The sequence below is a fragment of the Homo sapiens genome, chromosome 5 (genome assembly GCF_000001405.40).
Source record: "Homo sapiens chromosome 5, GRCh38.p14 Primary Assembly".
Taxonomy (NCBI): Eukaryota; Metazoa; Chordata; class Mammalia; order Primates; family Hominidae; genus Homo; species Homo sapiens.
The window spans coordinates 154,726,346-154,750,033 of record NC_000005.10 but is presented as its reverse complement, the minus strand read 5'-3'; the positions used below and the strand labels follow the sequence as shown (position 1 = coordinate 154,750,033).

At 44.9% G+C, this 23,688-nt stretch overlaps 1 protein-coding gene and 1 pseudogene across 12 annotated transcripts in view; both read right to left on the bottom strand.

Moving 5' to 3' along the window:
• Nucleotides 1-23,688, bottom strand: part of LARP1 (La ribonucleoprotein 1, translational regulator) — a 134,627-nt gene that overhangs the window by 67,572 nt on the left and 43,367 nt on the right. For 2 of the 12 annotated variants that reach the window (XM_047417041.1, XM_047417040.1), the window contains exon 3: nucleotides 8,665-9,519. The exons of 9 other annotated variants lie outside the window; for them this stretch is intronic. In XM_047417041.1, coding sequence (XP_047272997.1) covers nucleotides 8,665-8,776 — 112 coding nt within the window. In that variant the 5' untranslated portion in view covers nucleotides 8,777-9,519. Of the gene's footprint in view, nucleotides 1-8,664; nucleotides 9,520-23,688 lie in introns of those variants that run through there. One more of the 12 variants, XM_047417043.1, reaches the window with a different exon arrangement.
• Nucleotides 20,323-20,845, bottom strand: RPL21P57 (ribosomal protein L21 pseudogene 57; annotated as a pseudogene).

The following is a 23,688-nucleotide window of genomic DNA, read 5'->3' as shown; positions in this document are numbered from 1 at the left end:
GCAGCCTCCTGAGCCTTCCATCCATGAAACAGGAAGCATACCTGCCCATCTGGCTTACAGGCAGGAAGAAAATACAAAGTTTACATGAAATTTTATTCTATTGGAGGGGGAGCAGTGAATAGGTAAAGGAAGGAGGAATGGTTCCTTGAGTTATCTGTGCTTATTATGAAGGAAAATTTAATATGCCTGGATATGTGCTAGTTTTATTCCTCCTTGGATTGGGTTTTCCAAAGAGCCTTGTGTTCCTGGAAGAGCTTGCACTAATCACTTACTTCTGCTATGGGGCCCCTTGGGTATGAAGACTCTTATACTGACACAAAGTGAGTGGGGTTAGCAAAGGGAGGGGCCTTGGCCAAAAAAAACAGTGCCAGCTGAGGAGTGTTTTTCAAGACCCTGAAGACTCTTGGGCCTTCTGGCACATGTCACGTAATTATTTCAGTTCTTGGGAAGAGGCTCAGCCAGGATCTCCTCCTGTGAAGGAGATGTAAATGGCAATAGCTAACATACAAGGAGGAGGTGGGGTGGGGACTGACTGTTTCCACAATTCCTCGTTTAACCCCCAGGCCGATCCTTTTCCATGACTATCCCCACTTTACAGATGAGAAAGGAGGCTCAGAGGAAGAGGGGTGGTCAAGGAGGAGGACGGTTTGCAGTGAAGAAGGTCTGATAAATAACTTTTAACACACTCACCCCTCTGAGTCGGAAACAAGCACCATCCCAGCCTCTTCTCATCAGTTCTACCTATGCAGCCTCTTCTCCCATCCCCACTACCCTCCCTGGAGTTTTGTACTTCCCAAGTTGTCCCGTGATGGGCTTCCTCACTAACTGTACTCCCACTGTGATCCAGTCTACCACACTTGCCTGTGTCAGCTCTCTGGCTCTATGATGGACTCAGGCCCTGCCTCTACTTTGAATCTCCACATTCACACCCAGCACAGCCTGACCCTAACTAACCTTCCTGTCTTACTGCCTTCCAGCACAGACCCTACACTCCAGCAACAGTGGACCAATCACTTCTTTAACTCAGTAAATATGTATTGAGCATCTGCAATGCACCAGATACTGCTAGGCCCTAGACATAGAAAAGTGAGCAAAACAGACATGTTCCCTACTTCCCAGAAGTTTCCCATGTAAACCCCTGTGGGCCCCATGTTTTCCTGCCTCCATTCATATAACATAGCTATTAATAGTGAGGTCATGACTGTGAATCCTGGCTCAACTATCTTGTGACTTTAGGAAAATATTTAACTTCTCTCTAAGCCTCAGTTTCCCCATCTGTAAATTGGAGATGATAATTCTACTTATCTCATAGAGCTTCAGTGAGCCTTAAGTGAGATGTATATAATAGCACAATGACATGTATAGCAGAGTATATGCTAAGTAATATTCCCTTTCATTACTTTTATTATTACCGATAATGCCTTTCCACTTCCACTTGTCCTGAATTCTACTTGTCCTTCAAGGCTCAGCACCAAATGTCAACTTCTTCACAAAATCTTATTTAATCTCCATAGTTAAAGTAGATTTCTCTGAACTCTTATCTCCTAGTGGCAGTTTTCCTAAAACATATATTTTTCATTTTCTCTACTCAGTTATGGTTACTTATGAGAATGCCTTATTCATAAGTAACCATAAGGCAGGGATTATACCTTATTCATCTTAGTGTTCCTTGGAGTACTTATCAATGGTGACTTAAACAGAACAAGCCCTCAGTCTTTTCTGAACAAAGGAATAAATGAGTGAATACAGGATCACTTCTGATTGCAGCAATGTTGTGGCAACCAGAGCAACACTGTCAAAGGCCAAGTGCTAAATTATATTTATATATACATCTTTTGAAAATGATAAAATAGGCTAACTTTAGCAAACTGGAAAATTTTTTTAGGCTGAGCACAGTGGCTCACAACTATAATCACAGCACTTTGGGAGGCCAAGGAAGGAGAATCCCTTGAGGCCAGGAGTTCAGGACAAGCGTGGCCAATATACTAAGACCCCGTCTGTAAGAAAAATAAAAAAGAAATTAGCTGGGTGTGGTGCCGCATACCTGTAGGGCAAGACTGAGACAGAAGGATGGCTTGAGCCCAGGAGTTTGAAGTTGCAGTGAGCTATTGATCATGCCATTGCACTCCAACCTGGGTGACAAAGGGAGACACTGTGTCTTTTTTTTTTTGAGATGGAGTCTCACTCTGTCGCCCAGGCTGGAGTGCAGTGGCACAATCTTGGCTCACTGCAGTCTCCGCCTCCCTGGTTCAAGCGATTCTCCTGCCTCAGCCTCCCAAGTAGCTGGGATTACAGGCATGCGTAACCATGCCTGGCTAATTTTTGCTTTTTTTGAGACGGATTTTCGCTTTTGTTGCCCAGGCTGGAGTGCAATGGCACAATCTCGGCTCACTGCCGCAACCTCCGCCTCCCAGGTTCAAGCGATTCTCCTGCCTCAGCCTCCCAAATTACAGGTGCCCGCCACCACATCCGGCTAATTTTATATTTTTAGTAGAGATGGGGTTTAGCCATGTTGGTCAGGCTGGTCTCCAACTCCCGACCTCAGGTGATCCACCCGCCTCAGCCTCCCAAAGTGCTGGGATTACTACAGGCATGAGCCACCGCACCTGGCCTAATTTTTGTATTTTTAGTAGAGACGAGGTTTCGCCATGTTGGCCAGGCTGGTCTCGAACTCCTGACCTCAGGTGATCCACAGCAGCCTTTTTTCTTTTTCTTTTTTTTTTTTTTTGGGACAGAGTCTTGCTCTGTCACCCAGGCTAGAGTGCAATGGCACCATGTCAACTCACTGCAACCTCCGTCTCCCGTGTTCAAATGATTCTCCTGCTTTAGCCTCCCAAGTAGCTGGGATTACAGGTGCCCGCCACCTCACCCGGCTAATGTTTGGTTTTTCTGTTTGCTTGTTTTGAGACAGAGTCTCGCCCTGTCGCCCAGGCTGGAGTGCAGTGGCACGATCTCGGCTCACTGCACCCTCCGCCTCCCGGGTTCAAGCAATTCTCTGCCTCAGCCTCCCGAGCCGCTGAGATTACAGGTGCCCAAATGCCTGGCTAATTTTTGTATTTTTAGTAGAGACGGAGTTTCACCATGTTGGTCAGGCTGGTCTCAACCTCCTGACCTCAAGTGGTCTGCCCACCACAGCTTCCCAAAGTGCTGGGATTACAGGTATGAGCCACCGCATCTGGCCCATTTTTTAATTTCAGTTTTTTAGTAGAGACACTCTATTTTGTCCAGGCTGGACTTGAACTCCTGGCCTTGAGTAATTCTCATACCTTGGCTTCCCAAAGTGCTGGGCTTACAGGCATGAGCCACAGTGCCCAGCCAGTGACCCACTTTCTATTTGGATCACCCTGCATTTTCCAAAGGGCTTTCATGGAGAGAGGATAGACATGATTGTCTTTGGTTGGCAGCTGAAGAACTGAGGCCTATAGAAGTTAAGTGACTTGCTCCAGGGTGCCAGGGCAGCAGAATCAAGATCAGAACCCAGGTCTCACTCCTCCCATTCTAGATCGTGACACCACATCACAAGAGACACAGATAGTATTCATAGAAAATGCAAAAACCACACAGTTGGACAAACTCAGGTAACCATGTTTAAGCATTCCATGGTCAAGAAACATCCAAATTCATGGAGACGAGTGGAAATCAGAAGGCAAAATTGGGGCAAAAGGAAATTTCTTGGCAACATGACCATAACTAGTCACACGGTGAGACTGGCCAAAAGAACCGTCGCTCAGTCAAACACAGGAGCCAAGCTCCAAGACAGAAGGGCCCAGCCCTAGAGACTAGTGTGGAAACAATAAGGGACAAGACATGGTCCCTCCCGCTGGGAACAAAACTCCCTACACTAGCACATTGTTCTCTTCTCAGACCATTTGCCTGTCCTTCACACATGGCACAGAAAAAAGGGGAAAGGGTTTGATGTCAAAAGAGTTGGGTTTAGGCCAGGTGCGGTGGCTCACGCCTGTAATCCAGGCACTCTGGGAGTCCAAGGCGGGTAGATCACGAGGTCAGGAGATTGAGACTATCCTGGCCGGCCAACATGGTGAAACCCTGTCTCTACTAAAAATACAAAAGTTAACTGGGCGTGGTGGCGCGTACCTGTAATCCCAGGTACTCGGAAGGCTAAGGCAAGAGAATCGCTTGAACCAGGGATTCGGAGGTTGCAGTGATCTGAAATCGCACCATTGCACTCCAGCCTGGCAACAGAGTGAGACTTCGTCTCAAGAAAAAAAAAAAAAAAAACAGTTGGGTTTAGGCCCAGCTTTGCCCACTTCCTAGCTGCGTGACCTCAGGCAAGTCACTTTCTTTCTCTGAGTTTCAGTGTCTCCATCTGTAAAATGTCAGAAAGGGAATGGCTGGGTAAAATTCATTATGTCTTTGAGAGGATTAAATGAGCCAATATTTGTGAAAGTGTTCGATAGTCTCAGCTCTGCCACCTACCAGCTCTGTAACCTTGGGCAAATTCCTCTGTGTCTCTCTGCCTCAGTTTTCTTGTGTGTAAAATGGGGATGATAATAGCACCTACCCCTGAGGATTATTGTAGGGATTGAATTAATACACCCAAAGTACTTAGAACAGTGCTTGATATACAGTGAGTACTGAATAAATGTTTGCTATTATCATAAAGGGGGTAGTGGTCACTGGCATAGAGTTAGGAGAAGCATTCTTCAAATCCCACAAAGAAGGTGGAACAAGTGTCACCTCATTTTAAAGATGAGGACACTGAGGCTCAGAAAGATGAGGTGTTTTATCTGAAGTCACACTGCTAGTTGGTGGAAACTCCAGGGCTTCTAAAGATTGCATATCCAAAAGGCCAGGCGCGGTGGCTCACATCTGTAATCCCAGCACTTTGGGAGGCCGAGGCGGGCGGATCACGAGGTCAAGAGATCGAGACCATCCTGGCTAACATGGTGAAACCATGTCTCCATTAAAAATACAGAAATTAGCTGGGTGTGGTGGCATGCCACCTGTAGTCCCAGCTATGCGGGAGGCTGAGGCAGGAAGATCGCTTCAACCCGGGAGGTGGAAGTTGCAGTGAGCAGAGATGGTGCCACTGGACTCCAGTCTGGTGACAGAGCGAGACTCCATCTCAAAAAAAGCGGCCGGGCGCGGTGGCTCACGCCTGTAATCCCAGCACTTTGGGAGGCCGAGGCGGGCGGATCACGAGGTCAGGAGATCGAGACCATCCCGGCTAAAACGGTGAAACCCCGTCTCTACTAAAAATACAAAAAATTAGCCGGGCGTAGTGGCGGGCGCCTGTAGTCCCAGCTACTTGGGAGGCTGAGGCAGGAGAATGGCGTGAACCCGGGAGGCGGAGCTTGCAGTGAGCCGAGATCCCGCCACTGCACTCCAGCCTGGGCGACAGAGCGAGACTCCGTCTCAAAAAAAAAAAAAAAAAAAAAAAAAAAAAAAAAAAAAAATTGCATATCCAATGCCCTTTCCCCTGCAGATAATATTCCAGCTGTTGCAACCTGTCAGTCCTCTGGCCAATTTCAGCCCACAGACACATTTTGTTTGGTCCACACAGTATTTTTTAAATTGAATTTAAATGTGATTAGATGAGCCCAGCAAATACTAGTGAGCCTCAGGCCCCATCCCTCCCCTGGTGTTACTCCCAGCACACTACTCTCATTTAGATACCTGCACAAACTAATGCCATACCAGTCATTAATATATGGTACAGACAAGTTCAGGAGACTAAAGGAGAGGCAGAGAGTGTCATAGGTGAGAGTGGGAGGAATGAGGTAGTCAGGGAAGCCTTCCTGGAGGTACCTGGACTTCAATTAGGACTTAAAACTGGGAAGTAGGATTTGCTGAGATTAAAAAGGAGGGCAGGAGATAGGGCAGATTGTTTTAGCATTTGGTGACCTTCGCATATGTTTATGATCCTCCCCTGCCAAGGCTTCCCCCAGGCCTTTCCTTTGGTAGAGGACAGAAAATGAATGAGCTGCCCTTTATCTCGGTTGCGGTCATGTGACCCAGGAGATCCAGAGTCAATACAAACTGTCATAGTTTGTTGATTAATTGGTCTGTGCCATCATCTCTGAGGACTCAGCACTGTGCAAGGCACTTGGAGAAAGCGGAAATCACTTGAGCCAAAGTATACACTATAGCCCTGGCCGGGTGTGGTGGCCCACGCTTGTAATCCCAGCACTTTGGGAGGCCAAGGCAGGCGATTCACTTGAGGTGGGGAGTTGGAGACCAGCCTGGCCAACATGGTGAAACCCCATCTCTATTAAAAATACAAATATTAACTGAGTGTCATGGCGGGTGCCTGTAATCCCAACTACTTGAAAGGCTGAGGCAGGAGAATCGCTTGAACTCGGGAGGCAGAGGTTGCAGTAAGTCCAGATCGTGCCACTATACTCCAGCCTGGGCAACAGAGCGAGACTCTGTCTCTAAACAAACAAACAAACAAACAAACTATAGGCCAGAAGCAGTGGCTCACTCTTGTAATCCCAGCACTTTGGGAGGCCAAGGCGGGTGGATCACCTGAGGTCAGGAGTTCGAGACCAGCCTGGACAATCTGGTGAAACCCCATCTCTACTAAAAATACAAAAATTAGCTGGGCATGGTGGCGGGCACCTGTAATCCCAGCTACTCGGGAGGCTGAGGCAGGAGAATCGCTTGAACCCGGGAGACAGAGGTTGCAGTGAGCCGAGATCACGACACTGCACTCCAGCCTGGGCAACAAGAGCGAAATTCCATTTCAAAAAAAAATAAATAAATAAGAATAATAAACTATAGCCCTTGCGGTTAATAATAAAAGTAATAATGATAATGACAATAGCTAGCATTTATTACACCATTATGAACCAGGGGCTGTGGATAGCGGATTTTTTTGCTAAGGGTGGGACTTCTCAAGGAGTGTTTCCCAGAATATGAATTAATATACACCAAGATGTAGTCCATCATCAAATCATTTTGGGAAATATTGGGTTAAGCAATGTTAAATGAGTGTTTGGCTGTAGGTCATCTCCAAGACTTTAACATTCATAGTCAATCTCTAAGAAAGGTGTAATGATTTGCAGCATTCCCCAAACTCATGTGACGTGGAACAAGAAACATTGGCTCAGGTTTGTCACACTGCTTCCCTTTCTGCTGGGGCAGTAGCAGGCTGTGAGATGTAGGAAAAGGGCTGCTTTCCAGTTCTGGCTCTATTGCTACTTCCTAGGAGACCAAGAAAAGTTCCTTTTCTTGTTGGGACCTCAATTTTCCTATTTCTGAAAAAGCCTAATATTCTGGAAGTTTCTTCCCATCCTAGAAACTATTTTTTTCTTTTTTCTTTTTTCTTTTTTTTTTTTTTTGAGACAGGGTCTGACTCTGTTGCCCAGGCTGGAGTACAGTGGCATGATCATGGCTCACTGTAGCCTCAACTTCCTTGACTCAAGCAATTATCTCACCTCAGACTCCCGAATAGCTGGAACTACAGGTGCAAGGCACCTCACCCAGCTAATTTTTTGTATATATACATTTTTTTTGAGACAGGGTCTTCCTCTGTTCCAACAACAGTGCAGTGGCATGATCATGGCTCACTGCAACCTCCGCCTCCCAGGTTCAAGAGATTTTCATGCCTCAGCCTCCTGAATACCTGGGATTACAGGCATGTGCCACCATGCCTGACTAATTTTATTTTTAATAGAGATGGGGTTTCGCCATGTTGGCCAGGCTGGTCTCGAACCCCTGGCCTCAAGTGATCCACCTGCCTTGGCCTCCCAATGTGCTGGGATTACAGGTGTGAGCCACCATGCCCAGCCACTTTTTTGTATTTTTTGTAGAGAAAGGGTTTCGTCATGTTGCCCAGCCTTGTCTTGTGCCCAGGCCCCAATTCTAGCAATCTTGATAGTTTCTAACGTTTCCTACCTCTATGGAAAAAAGGATGATCACAGGAGTGAAGTGCAGAAAAGCTGTGGCAAGTTGATGGGGCTGCCTAACTGCCTGTCCCAACAACAGGCATGGATCAGAGAGGTTGGCCAATTTCCACAGTACTTGGATCTTTAGGTCTATTTGAGACATATCTCTAGGTTCATTAGAAGGAACATGAATGGCCTAATTACCTAATGTGAATAAAATACACAGAGACTCCAGATAAAGACAAGGAAAAGCTGGGCTGGGCTCATTTTGCATAGGTATCATTGCCTGGTGTGTTTTTTGTAAACCTCCCAGGAGTCCCTCATTTAGGAAAAGCAGGAAATGTTACAGTATGTCTGCCACTCTCTTAAAAACAAACAAACAAACAACCCTCCATAACTGCCTATTACAAGAATAAACTCTAGACCTCTCACTTTGGCCCACATACCCTCTATGCTCCAGAACCCATTTACCTCCAGATTTTCCCCCCGTTTCTTGCACCTGGCCTTGCTCTGTGCCAGCCCCAGAAACACACGGAAACTCATCCCAGCCTGCGGGCCCCTAGGGCATGGTGTTCCCACTGCATTCCCACTCCCCCCACCCACACACAAACACCCGATACTTTGCATCCTTCAAGCCTCAGCTTAAATGGCCCCTTCTCAGAGGGACCACCCTTGATCAGCCTGGTTGAAATACTCCATGTTCTCCATAGCACAGATCACAACCTCTGATTTTGTGTGTTTATCTGCTTTTTGCCCATTGCCTCCACTAACGTGCAAGCTCCATGACCCTGGAGCACGTGGCTATTTTATTCACCTTTAGTATCCCTCAGTAGGCACTCAGTATGTGTTGAAAGAATGCTGCGTGGCCTCTGACAAGCTGCTTCCCCTCTCTGGGCTTCTGTAGGCCTATGAGTGAAATGAAGCATTTAAAAGAGGTGTTACTGAGAGCCCTTGGCGTTCTGACTGCAGCTCTATGATTAACATCTGGGCCTCAAGCCCAGGAGTGAGCCTGGCGTGTTGCATCTCCACCGCGCTGCACTGAGTGCACTGATTTAATCAAGCAACAAACACCCTGTAATTTAGTGTTCTGCTGTTCCTCTTCCCCAGTCCCTGGACTGGGGACCATGCTGTCAGATTTCCAGGATGATCCATGCACAGCCACCTGTTCTCCCAGCTCACTTGATCCCAGTGCCCCTGAGGAGAGGATGGTGGGCAGGCTGGGAAAACATTTTCAATCTGGAAGCCCAGGGGCAAGGAGGACTTGTCACTGTCCTGACCTGAAAGGCTAGAATCTGCAAGAGATTTCATCAAATCCCCTCATTTCTGGATTAAAAGGGATGCTTGGCCCAGTCCTTTGCCTTAAACCTAACTGTCTTCCAAAGATGCCTCCACCATGATTCCACTTGAAGTGCTCAGAATAGGGGCCCTCAGTGCCTTTCAGAGCTGCTCATCTCACCAATGAATGGCTTTGTTTAGAAAGTTCTTTAATCAGCAGTATGGTGTAACACAAGGCAGTGTAGCATAGGGGTGAAAGGCCTGGGCTTCCGGCCAGGCTGCCTGGGTGGAATTCCAGCTCTGCAGCGGACTTGCTGTGTGAGCTTGAGCAAGCCATAAAACCTCTCTGTGTCTCTGCTTCCTCTAGTGTAAAACAGGGAGAATCCTCATTAGGCTGTTGGGAGAATTACAAACTGTTAATTGATAATGGGAGAGCAATAAATGTAGATTACTGTTAACTGCCACCTACTGAGTGTTGGTGGTGGTAATTTAATCTTTTTTTTTTTTTTTTTTTTGAGACAGAGTTTCACTCTTGTTGCCCAGGCTGGAGTGCAATGGCACGATTTCGGCTCATCGCAACCTCCGCCTCCCAGATTCAAGCGATTCTCCTGCCTCAGCCTCCCCAGTAGCTGGGATTACACGCATGTGCCACCACGCCTGGCTAATTTTGTATTTTTTTAGTAGAGATGGGGTTCCTCTGTGTTGGTCAGGCTGGTCTCGAACCCCTGACCTCAGGTGATCCACCCGCCTCGGCCTCCCAAGGTGCTGGGATTACAGGCATGAGCCACCGCGCCCAGCTATTTTTTTTTTTTTTTTTTTAATGTTTGTGTGTGTGGTGTGTTTTTTCTTGGGACCAGGGCGGGCTTGGCATTTTTAGAGACAAGGTCTCACTATGTTGCCTGGTCTGGTCTCCAACTCCTGGCCTCAGGCTATCCTCCTGCCTCAGCCTCCTGAAGTGCTGGGATTACAGGCATGAGCCACCACACCTTGCTTGCTAGTGGTTTTAAAACCTCTTAGACTCAGGTTCTCTGGAATGGTTTGTTTGCGAAGGAGACAGTGGATCCCAGCCCAAACTCAGGGCTGGAAATTCAGAGGGGTGGCTCACTGTTGACTGTGAGAACATTCACTTTGTCTTTCCGAGTCTTAGAATCCTCATCTGAATAAAGAGAAAGAATATTTCCTGTCCTGCTTCCTGTCATTCAGCCAACGTAGCTGGGTATGGTGGCTCACGCCTGTAATTCCAGCATTTTGAGAGGCTGAGGTAGGAGGATTACTTGAGGCCAGGAGTGTGAGATCAGCCTGGTCAACATAGCAAGACCCTGTGTCTACAAAAAAAAATTTAATGTCTTCATAGAACCAATGAGTAGATCAAATGAGTGATGGACAAGAAAAGAAGGCTTTGAAAAGTGAAAAATACTACATAAATGTGAGGAATTAATCTCATTTTGTTGGAGAAGCCCTTACCGCTTTTAGCAAGGCAAGTCAGCTTCCACACAACAAAAATAGCTAAACTCAACCTACTTGGCAGATCATGTGCTTTTGGTACTTGCTGTGAATTTGAAGCAAATCCCTTTAGAATCTTCTTTTAGGGCCGGGTGAGGTGGCTCACGCCTGTAATCCCAGCACTTTGGGAGGCCGAGGTGGGCGGATCACGAGGTCAGGAGATCGAGACCATCCTGGCTAACACGGTGAAACCCCGTCTCTACTAAAAAAAAAATACAAAAAATTAGCTGGGCGTGTTGGCGGGTGCCTGTAGTCCCAGCTACTTGGGAGGTTGAGGCAGAAGAATTGCTTGAACCCGGGAGGCAGAGGTTGCAGTGAACACAGATTGCACCACTGCACTCCAGCCTGGGTGACAGAGCAAGACTCTGTCTCAAACAAACAAACAAACAAACAAAAACTGTCCAGTATATTGTTGTAAATTTAGCTCAATTTTTTATTTTAAATTTTTTATTTATTTTTGTTTTGTTTTATGTTTCTGTTTTCTAAGATAGAGTCTTTCTTTCTTGTCCAGGCTGGAGTGCAGTGGCACGATCATAGCTTATTGTATCCTTGACCTCCTGGGCTCAAGAAATCCTCCCACCTCAGCGTCCCAAAGTGCTGGGATTACAGGCATGAGCCACTATGCCTGGCTAACTCCATTTTTTTAAATGGTAAAATGGTACATCTGTGTCCTATCTCATAAGGGGGTCAGCATTTTGGATCAAAAATAATGTATGGTCTAAAGCCTCAAGAAAAGCCCTCAGAAAGTCATCATATTGGAGCCAGCAGTCTATGGGCATTGCTGTAACAGCTGCTGTTTCTTCTTTTTTTTTTTGAGACGGAGTCTCGCTCTGTCCCCCAGTCTGGAGTGCGGTGGCCCGATCTCGGCTCACTGCAACATCCGCCTCTCAGGTTCAAGCGATTCTCCTGCCTCAGCCTCCAGAGTAGCTGGGATTACAGGCATGTGCTGCCAAACCTGGCTAATTTTTGTGTTTTTAGTAGAGACAAGGTTTCGCCATGTTGGCCAGGCTGGTCTCGAACTCCTGACCTCAGGCGATCCACCCACCTCTCAGCCTCCCAAAGTTACAGGCATGAGCCACCGCACCTGGCTTTGCTGTTTCTTCTGAGGGTCCAGATTAAGATGTTGGCTGGCATGTAGGGCTCAGGTTGTGAGAAAAGGAATGTACAGCTAGCTCTACAATAAGGTGATATTCAGTGTGGTGAGATGCACCTCTGGGATCCAAGACTGCTTAGGGAATGGCAGCAAACAGTATCCCACACACGCATGGTTTACCTACTGTGTCTGTGTCCATCAGATCGTGGAGCTGAGGGCGTGTGACTTAGATGTGTCTGTGCTGTGCTTCTGACCCATTCTGTTTGTCTTAGGGAGGCCCACAGAACCTAAGGGGCCTCCCATTGTCCCTTAGGTTCCTGGAGGAGGTTAACTGAGGGCCCGGAGATGAAGACAAGATCTGAGAGTTCTCCAGACCCAGCAGTGTGAGTGAAGCAAGGGGAATGTTCAGGGACTATGAAGGGGAGGGCTGAGGAGGGGTGGTTAGAGCAGAGCTGGAAAGCTGGAACAATGAGGATAGCTCATTCACAAGGAGGGGCAGGGGCGGGGAACCGGGAATATCAGAGGAGATCAAAGAGAGAGAGAGACTTGGCAGAAGCTTGGGGAAGAGAGTTTTGAGGAGAAAACAAGTACCAAGGGTTGACCTGCTGCAGCATTACAGAACTAATCACTGTCTTTCAAATTAGGAGTTCGAGACCAGTCGGACCAACAAGGTGAAATCCCGTCTCTACTAAAAATACAAAAAAATTAGCCGGCGTGGTGGCATGTGCCTGTAGTCCCAGCTACTCGGGAGACTGAGACAGGAGAATTGCTTGAACCCGGGAGGCGGAGGTTGCAGTGAGCTGAGATCTCACCGCTGCACTCCAGCCTGGGTGACGAAGCAAGACTCCATCTCAAAAAAAAAAAAAAAAAAAAAAAGAGAAAAATTCCATGCTTCTAGATTACCAAAAAGGAAGTTTAGTTCCTTTGAGTACTTTAAACATTCCCCCTAGAATTGCATTAAAACAACACATTGGCCAGGCACGGTGGCTCACACCTGTAATCCCAGCACTTTGGGAGGCCAAGGCAAGCAGATCACTTGAGGTCAGGAGTTTGAGACCATCCTGGCCAACATGGTGAAACCCCGTCTCTACTAAAAATACAAAAATTAGCACGGTGTGGTGGTGCACGCCTGTAATCCCAGCTACTTGGGAAGCTGAGGGAGGAAAATCACTTGAACCTGGGAGGCAGAGGTTGCAGTGAGCTGAGATTGTGCCATTGCACTCCAGCCTGGGTGATAGAGGGAGACTCTGTCTTGAAAAACCAAAAAAACAACACATTTATTCACCTCACACACATTAGGATGGCTACTATCAAAACAAACCAGAAAATAACAAGAGTTAGCAAGGATGTGTAGAAACTGGAAGCTTTGTGTACTGTTGGTGGAAATGTAAAATGGTGCAGCCACCATGGAAAACCATATGGAAGTTCCTCAGAAAATTAAAAATAGGGCCAGGGATGGTGGCTCACATCTGTAATCCCAGCACTTTGGGAGGCTGAGGCGGGCTGATCACATGAGGACAGGAGTTTGAAACCAGCCTGGCCAACATGGTAAAACCCTGTCTCTACTAAAAATACAAAAATTAGCCAGACGTGATGGCACATACCTGTAATCCCAGCTACTCAGCAGTCTAAGGGAGAAAAATCACTTGAACCCAGGAGGCAGAGGTTGCAGTGAGGCAAGATCATGCTACTGCACTCCAGCTTGGGCAACAGAGTGAGACTCTGTCTAAAATAAATAAATAAATAAATAAATAAATAAATAAATAAATAAATAAAAATAGGCCAGGCAGGGTGTGGCTCAAGCTTGTAATCTAAGCACTTTGGGAGGCCAAAGTAGGAGGATCCCTTGAGGCCAGGAGTTGGAGACCAGCCTCAGCAACATAGTGAGACCCCATTTCTACAAAAAATTTAAAAACTTGCTGGGCACAGTGGCTCATGCCTGTAATCCCAGCACTTTGGGAGGCTGAGGGAGGTGGATTACCTGATATCAGGCACTCGAGACCAGCCTGGCCAACATAGTGAAACCCCGTGTCCACTAAAACTACAAAAATTAGCCAGGTGTGGTGGCACACGCCTGTAATCCCAGCTACTCGGGAGGCTGAAGCAGGAGAATCACTTGAACTGGGAGGTAGAGGTTACAGTGAGCCGAGATCACGCCATTGCACTCCAGCTTGGGCAACAAAAGCAAGACTCCATCTCAAAAAAAAAAAAAGAAAATTAAAAAACTTAGCTGGGTATGGTGGCGAACACCTGTAGTCCCAGCTACTTGAGAGGCTGAGGCAGAAGGATCACTTAAGCCCAAGAATTAAAGGCTGCAGTGAGCTAAGATGGTGCCACTGCACTCTTGCCTGGGTAGACAGAGTGATGACTCCCATTTCTAGAAATAATAATAAAGTCAAAAAATGTAAAACTTTTTAAAATAATTAAAAATGGAACTACCTTGGCCAGGTGCAGTGCCTCATGCCTGTAATCCCAGCACTTTAGGAGGCCAAGGCGGGCAGATCACCTGAGGTCAGGAGTTTGAGACCAGCCTGGCCAACATGGCGAAACCTGTCTCTACTAAAAATACAAAAAAAATTAGCTGGGCATGGTGGCACGTGCCTGTAATCCCAGCTACTCAGGAGGCTGAGGCAGGAGAATTGCTTGAACCTTGGAGGTGGAGGTTTCAATGAGCCGAGATCACGCCACTACAATCCAGCCTGGACAACAAGAGCGAAACTCCATCTCAGAAAAAATAAATAAATAAATAAATAAATAAATAAATAAAAATAAAAATAAAAATGGAACTACCATATGATCCAGCAATCCCACTTCTGTGTGTATATCCAAAAGATTTGAAAGCAGGGTCTCTTTTTTTTTTGAGACAGAGTCTCGCTCTGTCACCCAGGCTTGGAGGAGAGTGGTGCGATCTCAGCTCACTGCAACCTCCGCCTCCCAGGTTCAAGCAGTTCTACTGCCTTAGTCTCCCGAGTAGCTGGGATTACAGGCACCCATCACGCCTGGCTAATGTTTGTATTTTTAGTAGAGACGGGGTTTCACCATGTTGGCCAGGCTGGTCTTGAACTCCTGACCTCAGGTGACCTGCCCGCCTTGGCCTCCCAAAGTGCTGGGATAACAGGCATGAGCCACCACGTTTGACCTGAAAGCAGGGTCCTAAAGAGCCACTTGTACACCTATGTTCATAGCAGTACTATTCACAATAGCTAAGAGATGGAAACAACCCAAATGTCTATTGATGGATACACGGACAAGCAAAATGTGGTATATATTATATATACCATGGAATATTATTCAGCTTTAAAAAGGAAGGAAATCATGTTATATGTTGCAACATGAATGAAACTTGAAGACATTATGCTAAATGAAATAAGCCAGTCACAAAACAACAAATACTGTATGATGCCACTTATATGAGATATCTAAAGTCAGCAAATTCATAGAAACAGAAAGTGGAATGCTGGTTACCAGGGCCTGGAGGGAGCGGGAAAAGGGAAGTTGTTTTTTAATGGGTGCAGAGTTTCAGTTTAGCAAGATAAAAAAGTTCTGGAAATCTGTTTCCAACAACGTGAATATACTTAACGCTACTGAATGTACACTTAAAGATGGTTAACATGGTAAATTTTATGTATCTCTTACCAGAAAAGGAATTTTTTTAATTAAAAAAACCCAAAACCAAAACAATACATTTGCCTGTATACGCCCCCTTTACTCACTGAAAAACAGCTGGTTTCAAAACAGCCTGTTCAGTGTGATACTATTTTTGTCAAATGTCCTTTTCTATTCTAATATATGTAAATTATTATCATTAGGACATAAACCAAAAGATTACCAGTGGTTATTTCTGAGTGCTGATTTTGTCCCTTTTGCTAATCTGTACTCTGTAACTTTTTTTAGGGAACATTTTGTTACTTATTAAAACAATTAAAATTCATCCTATTTCAGCCTCTGTCTTGATGTCCACAAAACTGACATAAGTTGACTTCATGTTTTTGAAGCTTTATTTTGTATATAATTTGAAATCAATGCTAATAATTAATCTCAATATAATAATAGTAATACTTCCTATGTAGTGCAAGATACTTGTGCTCGTCATGAATTATCTCACATATTAACCTTTTGAGGTAGGTACTATTTTTTTTTTTTTTGAGAGGGAGTTTCACTTTTGTTGCCCAGGCTGGAGTACAATAGCGTGATCTCGGCTCACTGCAACCTCTGCCTCCCAGGTTCAAGTGATTCTCCTGCCTCAGCCTCCCAAGAAGCTGGGATTACAGGCATGTGCCACCATGCCTGGCTAATTTTTTATATTTTTAGTAGAGACAGGGTTTCACCATGTTAGCCAGGATGGTCTCGATCTCCCGAACTCAGGTGATCCACCCGCCTCCGCCTCCCAAAGTGCTGAGTTAGGTACTATTATTAAAACTCTTTCTACAGACAAAAAAATAGAGGTTATGGCCAGGCACGGTGGCTCACATCTGTAATCCCACCACTTTAAGAGGCCGAGGTGGGCGAATCATCTGAGGTCAAGAGTTCCTCACCAGCCTGGCCAACGTGGCAAAATCTCGTCTCTACTAAAAATACAAAAATTAGCCAGGCATTGTGGCAGGCACCTGTAATCCCAGCTACGCAGGAGGCTAAGGCAGGAGAATAGCTTGAACCTGGAAGGCAGAGGTTGCAGTAAGCCAAGATGGCACCACTGCACTCCAGCCTGGGCAACAGAGTGAGACTCCGTCTCCAAAAAAAAAAAAGAAAGAAAGAAAAGATAAAAGAAAAAACAGAGGTTATATAGCTTGTGCAAACTCATTTGGAAATGTCAAAGCTGGCCAGGCATAGTGGCTCATAGCTGTAATCCCAGCATTTTGGTAGGCTGAGGCAGGAAGATCACTTAAAGCCAGGAGTTTGAGACCACCTTGGGCAACATAGCCAGACCCCCATTTCTACACAAAAATAAAAAATAGAAATGTCAGAGCTATGTCCGATTTCAGAGCAGTCTGATGCCAAAGCCTGTGTTATTGACAGCCTGGCTATGCTGCTAGACCAACACGGTGTCGTAACTTGTCAACCAGTTCATGGCTTCCTTCAATAGCCACGAATTTATAATGTATGTGTTACTTAAATTGGTCAAACAATACCCCTACCACTCTCCTGGTGGCTATAGTATATTTGTTTCAAAGATAAGACAAGGGTCAACCTTAGTCCAGAAATCCCAAGCCACATAACATTCCAGGTGGGTCCAGACGGAGCCAATGAATGAGACAATCCTGGGGACCCTGAGACTGGGATTTTATGAGACACTCACCTTTTTCGCCTTACTTACTAACTCCACCACCCATTACAGCCAACCAGGACACATACCCTCCTCCCAGGACCAACTTCAATCTGAGGGTAGGGCAATGTGCAGACAGGGAAGGATGTCAAACATGGTAATTTTAATGATATAATTTATCTCAAAAGAATGATTATGGTGGTATAATTAACACTTCATATGCAGACATTTCCATCTCCAAGGAGCTCTGAGAGCCTTAAGGATGATTATTTAAATATATATCACATCCATTGCTGGAGACAAGGTCTATTGTTTTAAAAGATAATTAAAATTCCTTCCCCTTTGGAATTAAGAAGATTTCCTATAGGATGAATATTTTGCCCACCAGACACATGAATAGATCTAAATCTGGGAATTCCAAACACAGGGCTGGAAAAGATCTTGAAGAGCAATCTGTCCAGGAAAGACCAATATCTAACAAATATAACATCAATTTCAGATTCCCTGCTCATGGCAGAAATTATTAATCACAGCAATTTTTCCCATGAAGGCTGCATGTGTCTTCAGAATCTTTCCCCCTGTAGTACTCAAGGTAGCCACCATTAGTTCATCAGAGTTGGATCCTATTTGCTATTCTGGTTATTAGTTCACTGTTATCCCTTCAATGAGTCAGATAGAAGACTGAAGTTCAGAAAGGTAAATAAGCTCACTCAAAATTACAGAGCTGGTAATACAAAGGCCACGTTACCAAATTTTTGCTTTTTCCTTAATCTCCATCCCTGCCTCTTTGCTCTGTTCAGACTATAATTGGTAAATTATATGGTTTGCACCAGATTCACCTTTCTTTTTTTTTTTTTTTTGTTTTGTTTTGTTTTGTTTTGTTTTAGCTAGAGTCTTGCTCTGTCGCCCAGGCTTGAGTGCAGTGGCACCATCTCGGCTCACTGCAACCTCCGCCTCCCGGGTTCAGGTGATCCTCCTGCCTCAGCCTCCCAAGTACCACCACATCTGGCTAATTTTTTTTTTTTTTTTCAGACGGAGTCTCACTCTGTTACCAGGCTGCAGTGCAGTGGCGTGATCTCGGCTCACTGCAACCTCTGCCTGCTGGGTTCAAGCAATTCTCCTGCCTCAGCCTCCCGAGTAGCTGGGACTACAGGCGCGGGCCATCACACCCAGCTAATTTTTGTATTTTCAGTAGCGTTTCACCATGTTGGCCAGGATGGTCTCAAGCTCTTGACCTCGTGATCTGCCCGCCTCAGCCTCCCAAAGTGCTGGGATTACAGACGTGAGCCACCCCGCTGGCTCATCTTTCTTGAATGAGCTATTTTAAATGCCTCTACCAATGATTTGCCGAATGACAGTGGGACTATTACTTAACCTCTTTCAGCATCAGGTGTTTTCAAGTAGAAAATGGAGACAGCAATCCAGCTTCAGATTCCTGCCTGTCTTAGTGGCATGTTGGGGTGCTCTTTTGAGAAATGTGAGCTGCTAATGAAATGTCTATGGTTGCAGGGAAAGGATCAGACATTTTGAGAGCACCTTCTCTAAGAAAGGTACTGTGCTCCTTCTGGAATGTGTTTTTGCTCTAGGGGGTGTATAAATAGAGGAAGGCATTGGCTGGCTACAGCAATACGGTTATGCTAAGGCTCTTGGAGGAAGTGACATTTGAACAGGACTTTAAAGATCAATAGGATTAAATGTTTCTTTTGATTATAAAAGTTACACATGGTCATTACATAATTATTGGGAGAGACAGATTGTCAAGAAGAAAAATCATTTTTATTTCCTTTACCCATCAACCATATCAACTCTTTTTTTTCTTCTAGTATCTTTTTACTCTATGCATGGGTGTGTTTTTTTTCTCCTTTCACACGGTTATGATTGATAGGCATATCATTTTATATTTTGATGTTTAAAAACCTTTAATAGGCCAGGCACAGTGGCTCACGCCTGTAACCCCAACATTGTGGGAGGCCAAGGCAGGCGGATCACCTGAGGTCAGGAGTTGAAGACCAGCCTGGCCAACATGGTGAAACCCCGTCTCCACTAAAAATACAAAAATTAGCCAGGTGTGGTGGTATGCTTGAAACCAGGGAGGTGGAGGTTGCAGTAAGCTGAGATCACGCCACTGCACTCCAGCTTGGGCAACAGAACGCGACTCTGTCTCAAAAAAAAAAAAAAAAAAAAAAGTCAGAATGGTGCTTACCCGTAGGGGCATGGTTAGTGACTAGATGGGAGTATGAGAGGCACCCAGCTATAGACTACGAGAATATAATCACTTGGCTGGGCATGGTGGCTCACACCTGTAATCCCAGCACTTTGGGAGGCCGAGGCAGGCAGATCACAAGGTCAGGAGTTTGAGACCGGCCTGGCCAACATGGTGAAACCTTGTCTCTACTAAAGATACAAAAAACTAGCCAGGCATGGTGGCATGCACCTGTAATTCCAGCTACTCGGGAGGCTGAGGCAGGAGAATGACTTGAACCCGGGAGGCAGAGGTTGCAGTGAGCCGAGATTGCGCCATTGCACCCCAGCCTGGGCGACCACGGCAAGACAACGTCTCGAAAAAAAAAAAAGAATATAAGCACTTGGTGAAAATCTATCAAGCTATACATTTAAGATTTGTGCACTTTTCTACATGTGTGCTATAGGTCAAAAAAAGTTAATTAATCAGTTGCAGGAAAATACATCCATCTGGTAGAGATAATCAAGACTGTTTCCCTGTAATCGCAGCTACTCGGGAGGCTGAGGTGGGAGAATCGTTTGAACCCAGAAGGCAGAGGTTGCAGTGAGCCGAGATCGCACCACTGCACTCCAGCCTGGGCGACAGAGCAAGACTCCACCTCAAAAAAAAATAATAATAATAATGTTTCTTTGGACAGAAGGAACAGCACAAAGAAAGTCATAAAAGTAGGAAACGGACAACAGTCCAGGTTGCTTGCAATATTGGTGTTATAATATTTTGTGTAAGCAAACTACCCCAAAATTTAGGGCTTAAAATTTATGAGCAATTTTATTTGCTCATAATTCTGATCTGTGGCAATTTCGGCTGGGTTCAGCTACACGGTTCTTTCTGCCAGTATCTTACTAAAGTCACTCATGCAGTTGTAGTCATGCAGATTGACTTGGACTAGAGGTCCAAGATGGCCTGTCCTGGTTATTGATTTACTGCCTTAGTTGCAAATTTACTTTTTTGCCTGCTCTATTAAAATGGATCTGGGCCCCTGAAATGCCTTTTTCCTTTGACAGCTGGCAGGATGCCCAGCTTTGTCAGTATAGTGTGCTGGGAATACATTGAAGTTTTTTCTTTGTTTGTCTATTTGCTTTTTACAGTCTAGAGGTATTTTTTAAATACCTATTATGCCACGAATTCATAGGGATAGATTCCAGCAGCTCAGGCTCCTATTCATTGGTTCTCACAAAGTGTGTTTGGGTGGAGTGGCTGGTGCTTCATCTGAACCCAGGTACCTTTCTCTTTGGCTTTCTTCTTTTTCTGATCATTTTCCTTCACACTTTTCAGGAAGCTATGTCAGCTCTTAGAATGCTTAATGTGCTCAATAGGCAGATTAATTCTCTTGGCAAGAATCTTGCTCTTGTTTGTTTACAACAAGGCCAATAGCATGCTAGGTAACACTGTAGACTCTTCAGTTTTGCCATGGTAACATTTGTGGGGTATTCCTTTTTGAACAGTATCCATTCTCTCAATGTCTACAATATCATCTTACAGCTTTGCATGTATGTGGCCAAAGGAACAACTCCAGGTTTCCTAAAAGACCTAGAGAACATGTATTAGGTGCTTCTCTTTCCCTTTGTGTTAGTCATTTTGGTGAATTATTGGAAGGTGGCAGTTTCGGCTGAAAGGAAGAAAAGAGTTTTGTTTCCTGGTTACTGTGTGCTGGCTCGCCAGGCTCCTGCAGTGTTGTGCTTCCCCCATGCCCAACTCTTGCAGCACAAATGGCTTCTTGAGCTTCAGGCTCCTGCAGGGCACCATGGCCAGCAGCATCTGGTAGCTAGCAGCTTCCCCAAGAATCCCTCTCAAGTGCTTATGTAGCAAATGTCGATAAAGAGACATTTCCCTATGAACAACTTTCCCTGGCACCTGAGAGGGCCCATTTCCAGTAAGTTTCATAGGATGATTTCTACCAGATCCACTGACCTGGCAGGGCACCACAGTGACTTCTCTGCCATTTAGTGGGCCCTTTCCAAAAAGATCTAGATCTCAGCCCTGAACGAGCTCTTCCTTGGGTGTTCTATGTCAACCCTAAAGATAGTGGCTGTTCCTCATATCTGCTATTCCTATAGTCTTCAGTGTTCTCTTTCCTTCTTATTAGTCAATCCCGTTACTCTAATCCTCTATTATAATTAATAATTCTTCATACTCAACTTTCCATATTCAAAGTACTGTGTGCTTTCTCTCTCCTGGTTGGACCCAAACAGATCCATGCCTCACTCATATACTGTGTCTGGTGGTTGGTGTTGGCTGTCGGCTCTGCCTCTCTCTCCATTTTCCCAGAAGGATAGGCTCAACTTAATTACATGGCAGCTGAGTTCCAAAAGGGTGAATACCGAAAACGCAAGTCCTCTTGAAGACCAAGGCTCAGATGCCCCATAATATCATGTCAACTGATCTCTATTGGTCAAAGTAAGCCAAAGGATAAGCCGAGATTCAAAAGGAGGAAAAATGGACTCTATCTCTTGATTGAAAGAGTGGCAAAGTCACACTACAAAGGAGTGTGGGTACACGAATGGGAAGAATTGTTGCAACCATCATGGCAGACAATCTACTGTAGACTCATTGCATCGGAATCCGCAGGCTGCTTGTTAAAAGAAGGTTCCTTGGCCCTACACCAGAGGGGCTAAATCTACAGAGTGGGATCTGGGAATCCAAAATTTTAACACCCCCTGCCAAGTGATTCATACTTATATTACAACTTGAGAGCCATTAGCCTATGCTCACACAAGATTTATTTTCTCTTCTTTCTTTTGAGACACAGTTTCACTCTGTTGTCTAGGCTGGAGTGCAGTGGCGTGATCTCAGCTCACTGCAACCTCCACCACCGGGGTTTGAGCGATTCTCCTGCCTCAGCCTGCTGAGTAGCTGGGGTTACAGGCACACACCACCATGCCCGGCTAATTTTTCTATTATTAGTAGAGACAGGGTTTTGCCATGTTGGTCAGGCTGGTCTCAAACTCCTGACCTCAAGTGATCTGCCCACCTTGGCCTCCTAAAGTGCTGGGATTACAGGCAAGATTTCTTTTATTTATTATCATTTTAAAAATTTTACAGATAAAGTTGTATGTATTTATCATGTACAGCATGATGTTTTAAAATATATATACATTGTGGAATAATTAAATCTTGCTAATTAACATTAGCTCACATAGTCATTATTTTTGTGAGAACACAACATTCACTCTCTTAGCATTTTTCTAGGATACAATATGTTGTTGCTAACTTTAGTCACCACATTGTGTAATAGATTCCTTAAACTGAATCCTCCCATCTAACTGAAATTTTGTAGCCTTTGACCAATACCACCCCAATTCTCCCTTCCCCCACAACTACCCTACACCTTGGTAACCACCATTCTACTCTCTAGTTCTAATGGGATATGATTTATTTTCATTTATGACTTTAAACATATCGTTCCCTTGTCTTCTGGCTTTCATTATTTCTGTGGAGACACTATCCGTTTTATTATTGCTCCCTTCAAAAATTTCCCCTTATCTTTTACTATCAGCAGTTATATCATAATAGGCCCTAGTTACGTAGTTCTGTTTTATTTACTTATTCTGTTTAGGGTTTTAAGTGATTCTTAATTATTGACCAACATCAAATATTGCTTCTGGCTTCATTTCTCTTTGCATTGTGTCTCTTCTGTCATCTCTTCTCCCCTCCCCTCCCTCTCTTTCTATGGGACTTCAATTATACATATGTGGAAATTTTAACCACATTTCATATAAAATATGTATTATATGTGCTGAATACTTTTGATATGGTTTGGCTCTGTTTCCCCACCCACATCTCACCTTGAATTATAATGATCCCCACATGTCAAGGGCACGACCAGGTAGAGGTAAGTGAATCATGGAAGCGGTTTCCCCCATGCTGTTCTCGTGATAACGAGTGAGTCTCACAAGATCTGATGATTTTAAAAGTATCTGGCATTTCCCCTGCTGGTTCTCATTCTCTCTCCTGCTGCCCTGTACGGAGGTGACTTCTGCCATGATTGCAAGTTTCCTGAGGCCTCCCCAGCCATGTGGATCTGTGAGTCAATTAAATCTCTTTTCTTTATAAATTACCCAGTCTCAGGTCTTTCTTCATAGCAGCATGAGAACAGACTAATACAACTTTCTACTGGCTTTCTGGTTTACTAATTTTTATTTTCAGCTGTGTTAATATGCTGTTATATCCATCTATTGAGTTCTTAATTTCGGATGCTGTATTTGAGGCTTAAATTTTCATTTGATACTCCGTGATAGATTGTACTTATATGCAGAAATTCTCCATCTTGTCATGTAATTTCTTGACTATATTAATCACATATCTTTTAAAGTCCATGCCTCAAAATGCCAAAATCTGGATCTCCTATGGGCCTATTGCTATTATCTACTTTTTTCTCTTGGTTTTCAGCCATGTGGTTTTGTCTACTGAAATGTCAGGTAAATTTTGATCGAATAGCAGGTATTGTATATGAAAAAATTAT